This window comes from Homo sapiens, chromosome 13, assembly GCF_000001405.40.
Source record: "Homo sapiens chromosome 13, GRCh38.p14 Primary Assembly".
NCBI lineage: Eukaryota > Metazoa > Chordata > Mammalia > Primates > Hominidae > Homo > Homo sapiens.
The window spans coordinates 39484310-39501712 of record NC_000013.11 but is presented as its reverse complement, the minus strand read 5'-3'; the positions used below and the strand labels follow the sequence as shown (position 1 = coordinate 39501712).

The 17403-nt window shown below is 39.9% G+C and overlaps 1 protein-coding gene across 2 annotated transcripts in view, besides 2 other annotated features; it reads left to right on the top strand.

The window, feature by feature from the left end:
* Positions 1 to 17403, top strand: part of LHFPL6 (LHFPL tetraspan subfamily member 6) — a 260302-nt gene that overhangs the window by 101481 nt on the left and 141418 nt on the right. The window lies entirely within an intron of this gene.
* Positions 2181 to 2825: an enhancer, noted in NCBI's record as "OCT4-NANOG-H3K27ac-H3K4me1 hESC enhancer chr13:40073025-40073669 (GRCh37/hg19 assembly coordinates)". NCBI's record gives its function as "activates a minimal SCP1, AML or CMV promoter by ChIP-STARR-seq in naive H9 embryonic stem cells {active_cell/tissue: H9 hESC(naive)}" and the evidence as "EXISTENCE:reporter gene assay evidence [ECO:0000049][PMID:30033119]".
* Positions 2826 to 3470: an enhancer, noted in NCBI's record as "OCT4-NANOG-H3K27ac-H3K4me1 hESC enhancer chr13:40072380-40073024 (GRCh37/hg19 assembly coordinates)". NCBI's record gives its function as "activates a minimal SCP1, AML or CMV promoter by ChIP-STARR-seq in naive H9 embryonic stem cells {active_cell/tissue: H9 hESC(naive)}" and the evidence as "EXISTENCE:reporter gene assay evidence [ECO:0000049][PMID:30033119]".

The following is a 17403-nucleotide window of genomic DNA, read 5'->3' as shown; positions in this document are numbered from 1 at the left end:
GGGGTAAATGGAGAGAAAACATTTCAACTCATGAATCTTGTTTCTCCATACCTCACCCACCCCCAACCCCTCTTTTTTTGTGAAATGCCACAAATAACCATCCTCAACAGTGTCAATAAAGTTGAGAATCCCATAGATAGAGCCTGGGGGGAAGCCTCAATATGTTTTGTAGGAAAATTGTAAATAATTGTTAGGGGGGAAGGTAATGGAGCAAGTTTAAGCCCATTGTCTAATTTCTTTTAAAGCACAGACTCTCTAAACATTGAATTTTAATTGAATTCGGGAGGCAGAAGGAAAAAATACATTCTATGATGTAAAAAAAAATTCTGGGCTGTTTAGAGAAAGATAATTTCAAACACTGTAGCGCAAAGTAATAGAATAAGATACGAGAAAGGATAGCGTGAGAGGCTGGCACTATACTGAATGGTGTATCCACATAGGAGGTATTGTGGCAGAGTTCAAAGAACCCTGGACTGGGAATCAAAAGGCCTGCTTACTAGTCCAGCTTTAGACACCGACTTCCTGTTGCTAACAGCAAATATAACAACACCGGGAATAACAGAACAGATCGGGCACCTATGATGTGGGCTTCTGAATCTAGACCTCAAAGGTGCCCACACTTTTCTCAACAACTAAGATAGAGGAAAGGATGAGACTCCAGGGCAGTGGTCCCCAAAGGAGAGCATCAACATCACTTGGGAATGTGTTAGAAATTCACATTGTCACGCCCCACCCCAGACTTACTGAAAAACAAATTGTGGAGGTAGAGCCCAGCAATCTGTGTTTTCCTAAGTTTTCCAGGTGATTCTCATGCTCACTCAAATCTGAAAATCACTGGTCTGAGAGACACAATCCAAATTTCTTGTCCAAGTTTAATTTATGTTTAATACTATGTGAAATACTGGGTTTGCTTTTGGTCAGAATACTTAATTTATTTTGAAATTAAAAGAGGTGTCAAATTTTTATACTTATCAAGAGGCGTAGTATACATTTTAAAAGGTTTGAGAACATTTAATATACAATTCATGGGCCTTTTCTTAAGAAATTTATGATTTAATTGAGGGAATGACATCCTTGTTAATCTATCAGCAGGTGCATAATAAGGAATACAGGAAATGAGCTAGTGCCGATGGAAGTAGAAAGAAGAATTGAGATGGGGGCCGGGCACGGTGGCTTATGCCTATAATGCCAGAACTTTGGGAGTCTGGGAGGTGGGAGGATCGCTTGAGCCCAGGAATTTGAGAGCAGTCTGGGCCACATAGAGAGACCTCATCTCTACACAAAATAAAAATTTATCCAGGCATGGTGGCATGCACCTATAGTCCCAGACACAAAATAAAAAATTAGCCAGGCATGATGGCATGCACCTATAGTCCCAGCTACTTGGGAGGCTGAAGTGGAAGGATCTTGAGCCCAGGAGGTCGAGGCTGCAGTGAGCTGTGATTGCACCACCACTGCACTCCAGCCTGGGCAACAGAGCAAGACCCTGTCTCAAAATAAAACAAACAAAAAAAATAAACAAACAACCCCAATAAAATAAAAAAAGCAAAATGCAAAGGGCTTATACCTGGAAAGTGAGATGATGAAGGGTTTGAAGAAACATACTGAGGCAGGACCTTGGGGGTCAAGACAGAGAGAAACTGGCTTATCTGGGGGTAAAAAGGACCCAACTGGTAAGAGAGAGGAGTTTGATTAAAAAAAAAAAGAATAAACTCATTTGGATTTTGCAGGAAACTTTCTAGAATCCTGGACAAAATAGCACAACAGAAGGATTCTCAAGTAAGAGTGTCATGTCAACAATGTGTGTGATTGTGTCAGGCATGACCGTTTCAGCTGCACGTGACAAAAACCCAATTCAAAGTAGTTGGATCAAAAAAGAATTTATTGGCTCAAGTTACTGAAGACCAAAGATAGCCTGGCTTTCAGCCTGCTGGATCCAGGGGCTCTGGCAAAGTCACGATTTATGGGTCTCTTCTTACCATCTCTGTGCCAGCTCCTTTCTCAGGGAGGTGCCTTTCTCCAGCACTAAGCTGATGGCTAGAAGCTCCAGGCCTACATCCAATTCTCAGAAACCCAGGTAGTGTCCTAGAATTGAGCCTCTGGTTTCAGACAGGCTAGACCAGGTTCACGTCTCTCCTGAAAGGGTGGCGTATAGGGCCATCTACACCTGGACCTCGTGGACTGAGAGTGGGCATGGGCTGGTTCTGTTTTAAATAGGAATGTGGTTATCTGAAAAGAGGCGCTGAGGATGCCTGGGCTGCAGGTCTGTTCTCTCAAGGGATGGTGAAGGGAGGAGAGGACTGAGGAAGGAAGACCAGCAAGGAGGCTGCTGCCATGATCCAGGTACAAAGTAATGAAGGCCTGGCTTGGAGTCATTTCTGTAAAACCCAAGAGGACAAACTTTGACCATCACTGTAAACAAATAATCACTATGACTTCTAACAGGGTTAATAAAAGAAAAACAGCTCATTGCCATGCCTTGAGTATAGAAAAGAGATTGGTTGGTGCTCTTAATAGTCATCATGAGGTTAAGAAGTTTGGGGAAAAGGCAGGCCGGGTGCGTGGTACACGCCTGTAATCTTAGCACTTTGGGAGGCCTAGGCAGGTGGATCACCTGAGGTCAGGAGTTCAAGACCAGCCTGGTCAACATGGCAAAACCACGTCTCCACAAAAATACAAAAAAATTTAGCCGGACGTGGTGGTGCGCTCCTGTAATCCCAGCTACCTGGGGGGCTGAGGGAGGAGAATCAGTCGAACCTGGGAGGTGGAGGTTGCAGTGAGCTGAGATCGCGTCACTGCACTCCAGCCTGGATGGCAGAGCAAGGCTTTGTCTCACAAAAGAAAAGAAAAAGAAGTTTGGGGAAAAGGCAAAGCCTCACAATATCACCATGGGAGGTTTTTGTAGTTGCTGGTGGGAGATCCAAGGTGCATAGTTCATCTCTGTGGACAGAGAGGTAGAACTATGGACTTCACTCCTTGCACCCTTTATCCTTGAATTGTTAGCACAGAGAGCTGGCAGTGCCTTTTTGTTACCTTTGTTAAATTAGATATTTGGGGGCTTGTTTATCTCTTCCTAATGTAGCTTTACGCTTTGAGAGCTGGGCTGTGTTTTGGACTTCCCAACCACAGCTGCATACTTGAATTATTCAGACTTTCAGTCTCTACTGATCTTCTCTCCCTGATTTTAAACTTTGTATTAAATAAATCTGAACGAGAAAAAGGGGCCAATATGCCTTTTAGAATTAAAAAGGATCCTGATACCCCCTACTGTTCTATGTGTAGATAGAAAACGTGCAAATCATTTGAAGTACTTTAACAAATAGGATGTGATTAGCTTGTGTCAGCCAGGTTTAGCACAACCCTCTACAGAGTAGGTGCTTGGTAAATGCTCTTTACTTTAATGGAGAAGGTGACTAGGAAACAAAAAAGGTTTTCAGTTGATTCTGAGTTGGGCATGGGGTAAGTCCGGTCTTAGGGGAAAGTCACTTGTTCTCTGGAGGTTTAATTAGAAACTGGACCACTTACTTTTTGTGGAGTGGTTTGGGAGTAATCACCAGAAGCAGAGTAAAATACTTGGAAATTAAAGAGATACTAAAATGTTAAATGTGCCATATGGTAATAAAGTTTTAGAGCAAAATGGAAATGTTCGATGGTTTTTAATCTCGTGACTGATAGGGACTCTAGGTGGGGTTAATTTATCATAGTTCGCTGCAGAGGCTTCAGTTGTAGCTAAGAAGAGCAAAGCTTTACAAGTGTATACTAGCACTAAAATCAGTGTCTTCATTAGAGTATTAATCGTGTAGAAGTGGGAATTAAACTTGGCAACATGACAGAGAAGCTGACATCAGAGTTATTAAATTAAAAAGATTGCTACTGAAATTAAATCAGATAATGCTATTACTGTCATCTCTGGCACTCTCAACAGTATAAAGAGAGAGGAGAAAATAAACCCTAAGTTAAACAGCTGTGTGTTCCTCCCCCCCATCTTTGGAATTGCTATCATAAACCCAGAAGATTAAATATGTAATCAAAGCAGAAAGGCTTATCAGTTATTGACTCCTGTACACATATTACCAGTTCATTAGTTCCAAATTAATTTTGCCCATATCTATACAAAATGAAAAGAGAAAAATCTTACTGCTAGAGAGGAATAAATTATGCTAGTAAATGTTAGCCGAGTGTTTTTAAAAATGCACACTTTGTTCTAAGGAGTGGCATCTTCTTCCAAGTGCCTCTTAGCATGAGGGTAGCACCAGAGATGACATGAAATTCCTACTGGGAATTCGGTAGTCCCTATAAATAGGAGCGTTCTCTCTGCATTTCTCTCCCTTAATTATGGCAAAGTTATTAAATTTGAGCTCATGTATTGAGAATAAAATCAGCTCTTTCATGCCTCTCTCACCTTGACCTTTCCCTCATGGTATTCAAAGTCAATGCCGGTAAGTACAGTGCTTGTGGCTTTGTGATAGCCGATTTTTTACTCACTTTTTCTAAGCATTACCATAAAACCTGACATCATGCCTTCAGTCTGCCTGTTGTGGAGATTGTAATAAGTGGGGGTTGGCTTAAAGCGCATTAGTAGATTTTGAGTGTAGTTTACTTGCTCAAGATGATGAGCAAAGTGATCTATCATTGAATCCATACTCCTTACTGAAGGTAATAGTTCAATTTTGTTTTTCTAGCTCCACAATTTACAGCCAGCAGTTAGATCTGGGATAAGCTTCTGCATTTTTGATTGCAGAGTGTTATGATTTTAGTACAGAGGTTTCATGGAGCCACCTGCAGCCTGCACATCAGAGATGTGGCCAATACTGTGGTCATCTCTCCTAGTGACTGAGCTATACCCCTGGGTATCATGGAGAATGATGACAGCACTTCACTCCCAGTTGGTCATTGGAAATGCCTCTGGCACCTGCCACCCCTGGATCCCTGTGGTGGCCAGTAGAGCAAACATTCTCTAAAATGAGATGTAATTAGCCTTTTCACTAATAACAGATTTCCTGCCTTCCTGTGGTGAGTATTTTTGGTCTAGCCATTCATGAAGCTGCATGCTCTTTTATATCTCTCTACTGATGAATTATCCAGCCTGTTTTCTCCAGAAGGGATGTTTTTCTTTGACACTCAGACATCTGGTCCTTTGCATTTGGGAAGTATAAATGTCATTGCATGCCTGCATTTTTGAAGTAAGTGCTGGGTTTTGAAAGAGCCTTCTTTAGGGTCTTGTTACATCACATTTTATAAAACTAGTCTTATGGTCTCAAGGTGCTGTCGTCTGGATGTTTGTGCCCCTCTCCATTCATATATAGAAATCCTACTCTGAAGGTGATGATATTTGGAGATGGGGCCTTTAAGAGCTGATTAAGTCATGAGGGTTGAGCCCTTATGAATGGGATTAGTTCCCTTATAAAAGAGGCCTCCAAGAGCTACCTTACCCCTTCCACCATGGGAGAACACAAAAAGAAGACAGGCTCTCACCACATACCAAATCCACCTTCATGTTGGACTTCCCAGGCTCTGGAATTGTGCTAAATAAATTTCTGTTGTTTATAAGTTACTCGGGGTATGGTATTTTGTCACAGCAGCCCAGACAAAGATGCAAGGGATCAAGTTGGCTGAGCTGTCTTTTTTCTTTCTTCTTCTCTAATCTCCCTTTTCCATAGAGTTACCATTGACAGAATACCTGCCATGTGCCAGACCCTTTATATCCACTATTTTATTTTATCCATATTTCCCTTGACTCTAGACAAACTGAAGCTCAGAGAGGTAAAATAACTGCCTTGGTCACCTAGCTGGCTAGCAGTTGAGCCAGATTTAAGCCCAGGCCCTTGAATTCCTGAAGCCTGAAGTCTTTCTACAACACTGCTGGTCCCAACCCTGGCCATGCAGCAGGATAATCTGGTGAATTACTAAAAAAAAAAAAAAAAAAAAAAAAATTATTGAGTTACATCCCAAGCTTCTCATATCCCCAGCTTCAAGGTTGGTATCTGGCACTTAGTAGGCATATTATACATATTGATTTACTACAACAGTTTTGAGAGATAATAATACAATCTAGGAATCTATAATGTTTCAGTTATTACACGATCATATACTTACAAAAAAAAAAAAAGCCTAGTATGGTCGTTGAAAGGAAAGATATCCAGATGGATCAACTGAGTTGCTCCATGCAGTACCACAACTTATCTTTTCACTGCTAGCCTCTAAAATGGGCATGATTTCTTTTGATGCCTATAACTGAAATATTGTGATCACTCAATGAATGATTTGAGAACTACAATGTACAATACAAATGAAAGGTATTATCATAAAATGAATTATAAGAGAAATTCCATACATGATTGACTAGACTCACTGAATCCTATTAAATGAAATCAACCGGTCAGCGTGAGAGAGGCTATAAATGGCAAATATAGCCTAATAAAGAGGTTCTGAAAGACCAGTACCCTGAAATCTGAATAGATTCATTAATTTGAGGCATATTTTCATGTTAATAAAATGTGTTACAAGGTCTCAAAGCAACACATAGCGAATGTACTTGGAAAATAGACTTTTCCCTGTTTGGTTCACATCTGTTTTCCTAAGCCTGGAAGTTGATCAAGTTTGCTTGTTTTCCACTTGCTACCTTCTACCTATAGATATGAATGTGGTGAGCACGGAGAAAGTGAGATGGGAGAGTGGGGTGCAGTCATTTCATGTTCTAACTCAAGGCCTGAGGTTGGCGTATGCAGTGGTGGGGCAGTATAGGCAGCTCACAGTCACACAGTTAAATGACTTTCCAGCTGCCAGCTCATGTGATCGGTAGTATAAGCAATCTGTTAATAAAAATGGAAAATTCTGAACTAATTAATTTGAAAAGGAATGCCCATAATCTCAGTCAGAGAAACATTTATTTTGGCACGGCACAATTCTATTCTCTTGTGACTATGTCAGTATGGTAAGTGTGGCACATTTGATTCCAATTAAATCTTAAATGACTATAGAGCTTAATTCCAGTTAAATACCCTAGTGAAGCTGTAGTTTTGTGAGCTGTAGCTATAGAAAGGGGCTTCTGTGAATTATTTTCCTTTTACTTTGACATGATTAGGATAATTTTGCACATTAGCTAGAAACTGTTTGCATAAAATAAGGATATAAACTCCAACCTGATTTTATAAATAACATTCAGAGCAGAGTTTATGAGCATGGTGGGCTGTATGGGAGTGAGCGGGGTGGCCAGGAGTCAGGCTGTGTACCTAGTCAGGCTGCCAAGGTGGAATCCCATCTCTGATGCTCCTTAAGTGAGGGACCTCAGACCACTTACCTTCTGTATCCTTCAATCTCCCATTTATGAAATGGGGTTATTAACAAGTCCTTAATGATTATTTCCCTATCTACCACAGGGGAAATGAATGGTAAAAAATGCCACGAACTGCTTAGCACAGTGCCTTCCTTATGGGCAGCGCTAAGAGCTGCGACTAGCAATAGTCCTGCAAATGTAATGATGGCATTTGAGGCCAGTGTGCTTTCACAGTGCTTCCTGCCTTTTCACAGGGGTAATTGCTTCAGCACAATGGTCATGACTATAAATGAACACCACCTGCCCAGGACATTTGAATGGTATTATGGGGTACCCTTGGCAGATTCCCCTACATGAGGCCTGAGACTGACATGGAAATGTAATGTTTTTCTTTCTAGTGGGGAGCTGATGAGATTAACATTCTTTGACTATGGTCTGAGGTTTAAAGCTAGGTCACCTTGCACCTTCTAAGAAGAGGGATGAAAACATGTAGTGTGCAAACTTCTTGTGAAGTGTTTCTTTGCTTAGAAATCATGCTTGTTTGCTTTTCTATATAAAAATAGAGAGAAACTTGTCTCTTGATGTCCTAAACAATAAGAGAGAAGGTCTTAGATATCACCATGAGCCCTGATGTCTTTCCTGAGGACATTGATGATAGGGTCAGAGCACCCTGTGTTCTTAACCAGGACACTCTTGATTCACTAACAGAAAATTGCGTCTATTATAGAGCATTTCATATGTGGGAAGGCTGGGGTAGAAGCAGATAAAATTACTTTACAGTTTTTTAGTCAAGGACAACCATTGCTAGTATTTTGCCATTCCCAGGCTTTTGTTCTCTGTCTCTATGCAACAGGTTTTGGTTTTGTCTTAAAAAGTGGTGATTATCCTATCTGTGTAAGTTGGTTCTGTGTGTTTTTGTTTTATAAGTATTTCCTATCTCATTTCAATTTTTTCATAAACAACTTTTACATGTGTTATAAAATTCACGTGACATAATTTATGATTCTTTTATTATTTGATGTTAAAGCCTTTTAGCAGTCTTACTGTATTACGAATAATGCTTTGGTGCCCATTGAGGATTCTTTTCTTTTTTTTCTTTTCTTTTCTTTTTCCCTATTTTTTTTTTTTTTAGTAGAGATGGAGTTTCATCATGTTGGCCAGGCTGGTCTCAAACTCCTGACTTCAGGTGATCTGCCCACCTTGTCCTCCCAAAGTGCTGGGATTATAGGTGTGAGCCACTGTGCCTGGCCTATTTTCTTATAATATGTTCCTAAAAGTGAGATCCTAGGTCAATGCTATAAGTATTTTAAGTTTCTTAATATAAATCACCAAATGGCATTCTAGAAGATTGGCATGAACCTGAATGACCAACAGCAGGAGTATGGTTATAGAAATTAGGGCATATTCACATGATGGAACATTATACAGCTATTAAAATTGTTTTAGAAGAATATTGAGGCCGGGCGCAGTGGCTCACACCTATAATCCCAGCACTTTGGGAGGCCGAGGTGGGAGGATCACCTGAGGTCGGGAATTCAAGACAAGCCTGACCAGCATAGAGAAACTCCATCTCTACTAAAAATACAAAATTAGCTGGACGTGGTGGTGCATGCCTGTAATCCCAGCTACTCGGGAGGCTGAGGCAGGAGAATCACTTGAACCCAGGAGGCAGAGGTTGAGGTAAGCGGAGGTTGCAGTGAGCTGAGATCATGTCATTGCACTCCAGCCTGGGCGACAGGAGTGAAACTCCATCTCAAAATAAATAAATAAATAAAAATAAAAAAGAATATTGACATTGCTTATAATATAAAAATTTACCTTTTTTTGGAAAAAATATGTATATTATACACACAGGAAAAAAGGCATAAAGGAAACACAATAACAATGAATGTCTTTGATTTAAAAACTGTAGGTAATTTTTATTTGCTCTTTTATTTGAATACATTCCAAAGTCTCTACAAGAAATATGTATTCCTTTTATAATCAGAAAATTGATTTCTAAAAGCATTTAACTATAAATGTATGTTGATGTTAAGGTTCCAGCATTCGTATAAATTCTTTTGGCTATTTTAATGCTCTTGAACAAAAATAACATTACCTATTTTACTAAGAAAGTGAATGCTAATCATTCAGCCTGTTTAGTTCATATGCTCTAGAGTTTTTATTTTGGGGTCACTCAGGGAATGACATTATGGAGACAGCCCACAATTGCTATCTTCACCTACAAACAGATTTCCCTAAATCAGTAATTCTTTAATGGTGAGTTCTAGACTTCATATTCACAATGTACTCATTCATTAACTCATTCATTTAGTCATTCACAGTATTGAGTACTTATAGCGCTTGGCACTGTACTAGAGATAAGGAGATAGAAAGATGAATGAAAACCGTTCCCATCTGCCAGAAGGTCACAGCTTAATGTATTTTAAGAGGCCCTTGGCTCATGCCAAACATTTTGAGAAACTATCAAAAGTAATGTAAATTTCTGCCATCTCTTGTTTAAACATCTTTAATGTCATTTTGCCTGATTTTCTTGACTTCTTACCTGTACATATTTTTTACTTGAGAACTGTATGTCCAATATAGTAGTAACTAACCACATGTAGCTATTTAAATTAAAATTAATCAAAGTTAAATAAAATTAAAAATTTACTTTCTCTGTTGAACTAGCCATACTTCAAGTGCTTAGTAGCTGCATGTGGCTGGTGGCTCACATTGCAGAAATTTGTATTGGACAGCCCTACTTTAGAAGGAGAGATTATCTCCTTTCCCCTTGTCCCCACTCCATGTCCTTACCGAGTCCTTCCGAGGATTTAATTGTGGCTTCCCAAGTGAACTCCAGGTATTTCCCTTGAATTTAATCTTGCACATCCTCATCAGAAAGATAATCTTGAAAGAACCATCGTGAATTTATGGCTTTCTAATTAAAAACTGTTGGTTTATCTCTTGGCTTCCAAATAAAATGTAGACTCTTGAGGCAGGCCTTCAGAGCCCTCTAAAACCTATTTTCCACTCTCTTTCAGGCCTTCTCTCTGCTGCTTCAGCTAGTTGCAACCATTCCCCATCTTTGAAGCTCCCTCCGCTCTTTCTTGCCTCTGAGTTATCCCTTACGCGAACCCAGCTGTCAGAAATGCTATTTTCCCTCATGGCCCAGACTAGGAATTACTTCACATGTCACTTCTGCCATGAGTCCTTCTTTGATCCCCAATCATAAGTTACCCCTTCCTCCTCCTTGTAAATGGCTCCAAATTTGTAAACCTTATGTGGCATCATTGCTTCACATTTTGCCTTGTACTTCTTGCAAATACGTTTCTCGTTTTCTATACTATAAAGTCTTGGAGTAGTGTATATGTGCCATGGTAGACTCACAAATCTTTGTTGTCTAAACTTAGAGGCACTTTGCAGTCACTATCTTTATTTTAATTACACCATTTGAGTGCATTAAATAGCAGAGTGACCCTCATTCCAGTGGAGTTTGAGTTGGTCATCTGTTGCAGAGAGCTAATGTTTTGCCCACATGCTTGAAATAATCGGAAGTACTTGGATTTAATACTGCTCGTTTCTATAGGACTTCCAGGAAAATCAGGGTTCATTAAATGGGAAGAGAGTGACATTAAGAATAGAAAAATCCCAAAGCCAAATAAGTAGCAATGAGTAAAGAAAAACTGTGTCCTTAGCAGCTGTCCCCTCCAGCTTTACTTTTCAAATTAAATGAATAATTAAAGCTTCCTTTAGACTTTGCGATGTTATTGTTCTAATTGTGGTGTTACCAGTTCACATGTCATAGTGGCAATTTTGTGGCAGATGCTTAGCAGTACAGCTGATTACATGGCCACAGATGTAGCATTAGTAGCTACTGACTTACTGTAGCCCTGTCTTTTTCCTAAAGACTCCAGCAAACCTGCATTCATTGCATCCAGCATGATTTTTTCCAGAGTGGAGATGGAGTTAACACAGAGACTGCTGTACCTGAGAGCGAGCCTACCGGTGGCTAAACCAGGACTGTTCTCTTTTGGGTGTCCTCTAAGGCTGATTTATCCATACACCCACTTAGAGACTATGATTTTTATCTACCCTGCTTTGTTCCCCTATCAGGCTTTTAGAGACTTACCTCCCTCTTGGTTTGCGCTTGTATTGTGGCTCTATTGTCTCTAAGAGAGAGATTCCTGCATAAGAAATTCCTGCAATTCCTGCATGTTTTGGAATTCTTGTGTTTCGGAATTCCGTGTTTTAGAATCCAAGCAATTCCTGCGTGTTTTGCACTCAGTGAAGAGGAAGAAGAGAAGCAGAAGTTCTGTATAGGATCTTCTTAATTCTGTGACGTTTCCTGTTTTTTTTTTTGTTTGTTTGTTTAATCTGTTATTACTTGTTGTCTCCAGGTTTCCAACTGTAGGCAAAAGAATAGCAGTTTGGATTTGATTTGAATTGGTGCTTGCTTTTAATTTCATCTGTTACCTTTTCTTGTTTATGGGGACTGTTAGTTTTGTGGATCTTTAAACAGAGGTCTAAACTTTACTCCAGCCCTTTAGAAATTGTGTAGTAAATCCAAAAGTTGTATAGTAAATTCAAATTCAAAAAGCCAGGCCAGGCATGGTGACTTACATCTGTAATCCCAGCACTTTGGGAGGCTGAGGCGGATGGATCACTTGTGCTCAGGAGTTCGAGACTGGGCTGGGCAACATAGTGAAACACGTCGTCTCTACTAAAAATACAAAAATTAGCCGGGCATGGTGGTGCGTGCCTGTAGTCCCAGCTATTTGGAAGGCTGAGGTGAGGATCCCTTGAGCCTGGGAGGTGGAAGTTGCAGTGAGCCGAGATCATGCCCCTGCACTCCAGCCTGGGTAACAGAGCGAGACCCTATCCCCCGCTCCCCTCCAAAAAAAAAGCCACAGCATACTTCTCCATTCCTTTGATATACCTTTAACACAAACATGTGTATGAAAAGCCATGGAATCATATTATTTTCTATATATTTTAAGATTAAGAAGGAGCTGAGAGATGATCAAGACTAACCCTTTTGATGAAGCATTGGTGTAGACAACTGATAGACCTTGTCCAAGGAAGCACTCCTGATCAGGAACAGTGCTGGGACTGGAACCTGGGCCCCCTGACTTCCAGGTTCGTGCTCCAGCAAAGAGATTCTTTCACTCTAGAAAAAGAAGAAAGTATCAGCTGTGCAAAACAATTCCTCAAGGTTCCTAGACCTCCCAGTACGGTCAGTATTTAGGTTCTCATACCATTGTTCAGTGACTTGCACACCAGTTTTGATGTGGACATCAAACACAACTACTTAATGAGATGCCACAAAACTGTGTGTCAAAGAACATGTCAGGACTGAACATTTTGCTGGTAGATCTTATGTAAAACAGGAGAGATGGGAGTCCTTAAATGATATTGTTCAGATCATTTGTGAGGTGGAGTAAAGCGGGAAAGCCAACAGATGAAGGAAAGGAGCCACATAAAGCAGACGGTTTTCTATTGGGGCATTTATGTCCACACCCTCTGAGTTCATGATGAAGGAGATAGAATCTAAAGCTGTATCTGCAAAGTCCCATGGTTGAATCCAAGAGGTGGTTATTGATGTATTGATAACAATTGATTTTTGACGTCTTATGCTATCTATGATAAATATCTAAAGATGTTTTAAATCTAATTAGCACCATTCATTGGGTGACCATAGAACTGAAGAGCGATGTACTTTGCTTCATGTTTTCAGGAAGGGGAGTCCTGAGCCTGGCTACTAGGCGCTGATTATAAAATACATTATAATGATTAATAATTATGCATTACATGATCCAATTAAACACAATTATAGCTTCATTTGGTAGTAAGAATTTCTTCACGTGGTGAGGAGAGTGTGTCTAATCAGAAAAGTCTGCCTTAGAAGTTGCATTTTTGATAGGAGAGAAGGATGTGATTCAGTGGAGAGTAAGGGAGGAGGCCCTTGTAAAGGACAGGAATGGAAAAGGAACAGACTGCTGGGGTAAAAGGGAGAGTCACCTCACTTCACAAGCTATCCATCACCTGTTCGCAGAGCTCACATTTAAACTGTCAAGGCCTGACCTTTTACTTAGATACTTTTATAATTCTTACTAAACTAGATGTCTTAGTCCATTTGGATTGCTATAACAAAAATATCTTAAACTGGGTGGCTTATAAACAACAAACATTTACTTCTGACAGTTCTGGAGGCTGGGAATTCCCAGATCAAGGTGCCAGCAGGTTCTGTGTCTAGTGAAGGTTATTTCCTTGCAGATGGTGCCTTCTCACTGTGCCCTTACATGCGGGTAATATGCTCCCTGGAGCCTCTTTTATAAGGGCATTAATCCCGTTCATGAAGGTGGGGCCCTTATGACCTAATCATCTCCCAAAGGCCCCACTTCTTAATACCATCTTATTGGGTGTTAGGTTTCAACATATAAATTTTGGGGGGACATCAACATTCAGACCATAGCACTGGATGCAATTTTTAAAATTAACTTTCTTGTTCCTCCCTGGGGTAAATAGCAAAAGCAATTAGAGAACCACCATGCCCGGCTAATTTTATATTTTTAGCAGAGATAGGGTTTCTCCCTGTTGGTCAGGCTGGTCTGAAACTCCGGACCTCAGGTGCTCCACCCATCTCGGCCTCCCAAAGTGCTGGGATTACAGGTGTGAACCTCAGCCTCCCAAAGTGCTGGGATTACAGGCGTGAGCCACCGCACCCGGCCTAGAGAACATATTTCTTTTAATGTCACCTAAAGTCTTGTCCACAAAATAACCTGAATGCACTGTATCGTGCAAAGTCTCTGACATAATCCTATGGACCATATATAGTACATTAATGTGGGAATTTGCTAACTGTTGTCAAATGCTTTTAGAGCATAAAACCACTTTCAAAGCTCAGTATGATTAATTCGTAAGAACACTTCAGTGAGGTATATAGATGCTGAGCCCTATTATTTTTGTTGTCATTATCTTTCTTATTTCACAGTTGGCCACACTAAAATGCAGGAAGGTTAACTGCTTTAGCCAAGGTCACTTAGGAATCCCTTGATGTGGCTAGAGCAGGACAGGAGAGCTGTAGGCTGAAGCACAACCCTTTATCTATTAAAAAGGGAGAGTTTGCTCTTTTGTCTACTAAAAATTAAGCCAAAAAGGCACTATAAAATTTTGGGAATTGAAGAATTTCTTTTTTATCTCTATTTGTTTCTTGAATAATATTGGAGGGGTATGTAATATTGCCCAAATTGACTGATAGTGCATTTATAATTTTTAACAATTTTTGGAAGAAATTCTTTCTAGAGTAGCTGATTTTGTCTGTTGGATGGTTTCCAAAAGATTTTTAAGATTATATGTGTAGTTTGTGAGAAACAGCTCACATTTCATTTATCAGTGAGTCAAATACATCTTTCTTTGGATAGAAAGGGTAAATTTACATTTCTTTGAGTTCAGTTTTGACCCTTGTGCAAGCTGTGGCTGCCTCAGAAGATAGCAGCATTTGTGCTGAAGTCTCTGTTGTGTGCTGATTAAGTACCATTGAATGGATTAACAGGGATATGCAAATGATTTTTAGTAATTTTTCATAAGCAAAGACACAATTTCAATCCTTTCTTTAGAGCTACTCACTTGTTCTAAATTATTGAGGCAGAGTAATCCAGCAAGGAACTACACTGTTTTTCTTTTGACATTAGATATCCTGATAGGTTAGCATTTTCCTTTATTCTAAAAGGAGGCTCAAAGTGACCCCTGCTTTTCAAGCTGGTGGGATTGAACTTCCCTTTGTAATGACAGGTTGCAATGCCTCTTCTACTGGTAAATCTGTCTTTAGAGTGGAAGAAGACACCCTGACCATCGTCATCATATTGGCGGTAATAGTAACCACTTGGGGTGATACAGTTTACACCCCTGTGTCTGCTCCCATTGGTGACCTATAAGTAACCACTATTTGCCTCAAATATTTCAGGTTTGTGGGGCTCCCTGGGATAGGTGTGTATGTATACCACCCATTTGTAAGTGCTAAGACAGGGTTGCAATACATTTTTTTAAATACCGTGTTAGCTGACCCAGCCTATACTGTTGGTAGCAAAAACATTACTATCTCTCCACACAGTAACTGCCTTGCTGCAGCTAGCCCTTCTGTGGAAATAAAAAAATGACATGAAAACAAACAAAAATCTCCTGATACAATGGAGACTCACTAAGTACTCCACTGGAAATCAGTGATGTAGAAATATGGAAATTCCAGGTCTTGTCCCACTAGAAATTCCACTTCCACTCTCCAGTGGATGCTTACAGTCTTACTAAGAAAGAGAGTGAGACCTGCAAATGGTTCTATCAGATGTTGGCAAAACTGTGTGGAGTGGGTTTGGGGTCAGCCAGTCTTAGGTTCGACCCTTACTGGCCCAGCAGACTTTGTGGCCCTGAGCAGGTTATTTACCCTTGAGCCTTGGATTCCTTCTCAGTAAAATGCGAATGATAATACTTATCTTGGAGGTTGCTGAAAGGATTGGAAACCTTGTTTGCAAGGTGCTTTGGATAGTCTAGAACTTAGTAAAAGATCAGTTAATACCCATTACTATTGTTATTACTAACAATAATAATGGCACAAGTCAGTGTGTGCTAAGTGCAAAATCGTTGGTACAAGTATAAATGTTATAGGAGGTCAAAGCAAATTAAATTTCTTTCACTACAATTTCTAGATTTGAAAAATTGGGCTCATTCATCCTTTCCTTTAGTTCCACCCTGATTTCTTTTGTTCCCTGAAAATGTACTTATTTTCATAGCTGCCTTCATATTGGCTAGCTCTTGATTATTCATAGTGGTGGAAGCCAAGAAGCACATAAATAATTGAAATTCCAAGGTAGAATGCTGGGAAACCTTATTTTACTCTGTTTTCTTCTCTAGTCTTGCATTTACCAGAATTCTATCAGGGCTCTAGTAAGCAACAAACTGAACTGTCCTTTATCTTCCTTCTATTTCTTTCCCATTGACCCATAGGGTTGCTAATGACTTGTGAAATGACTTAAAGATGGCTATCAGATAGGAGAAGAAGAGATTTCTCTTGAATCATGTATGAATTACATAATTAATTGTACAATACTTTCAAAATGGCTGAACCCATTTCTCTGAATCTGAGATACAAGTAGAAGTTTCAGAAAGTATTACAATGCCTCTAAGGCATTGTTTTGTTGGAAAATAGTGATGTTGATAATCCAGGCTATGAGATACAGCCCAAAACATTTCTCCTTGTCTTTTGTATGCAGCATGATTTTTCCCGCTGATTTATCTCTCTTTATAGTTTGCTTAATCTGGTACTAAATGTAGTATTTCCTGAGTGGTCACTGACTCATGAGGGCAAAGTGAGCCTGAAATTTATAAAGCATTAGTAGAGACCTTTATAGAATTGAAACTAGGCCATAGAAAATCCACAGGATAAATGAGAATCTTCTATAGATGAAAACTGCCCTGTTCAGGCATTTGTTTTCATCACTGTAAATAAAAAAAAAGTTTCTTCTGGCTATTCAAGGAAGGGGGGAAAAGTCCATCAGTCCTTCTGAAGATTAGGAAGATGGTAGGCAGTCACCTACACAAATCTCTGGGGAACTCATCTGCCACACACAGGTTCGCACCTCCTCATTTTGCACACATTTCTCACCTCCTCCTCATTCATCCCCCTCCGCAAGTGAGAATCACTGCATATAACAAAAGATATTTCTCAGAGTGGTTTATTACAAATGTAGATGAGGTGAAAGCTTAAACCACCAAGTACTTAAAATTCTCACAACTGACTACAGCCTCCTGCGTAGATGCTTGGTCCTTCCTGAGGGATTTCTCATTAATGGAAAGGATTTCAAAAGAGAAAATAAATTATTCCTGTACATAAAGGAGGGTAGATAAAAAGAAAGGGAGGGGAGCAAAGGAAAGAGAGAGGGAAGGGCTGTCAATTTTCCATCAGTGGATGATTTTTCCCAGGAGAATTCACACTGTTTACAAATCAGGATCATGTTTATTGAAAAAAAGAGTTTCTCTGTTCAGCCAGGGTTTCCTCTCATTAAATTTTCTAACAACAGCAGCAAACTAAAGAGACCTCAAGCATGACTCCAAAGTTGAGGCAAGCATGACATCTATTCACTGGAGCAGTGGAT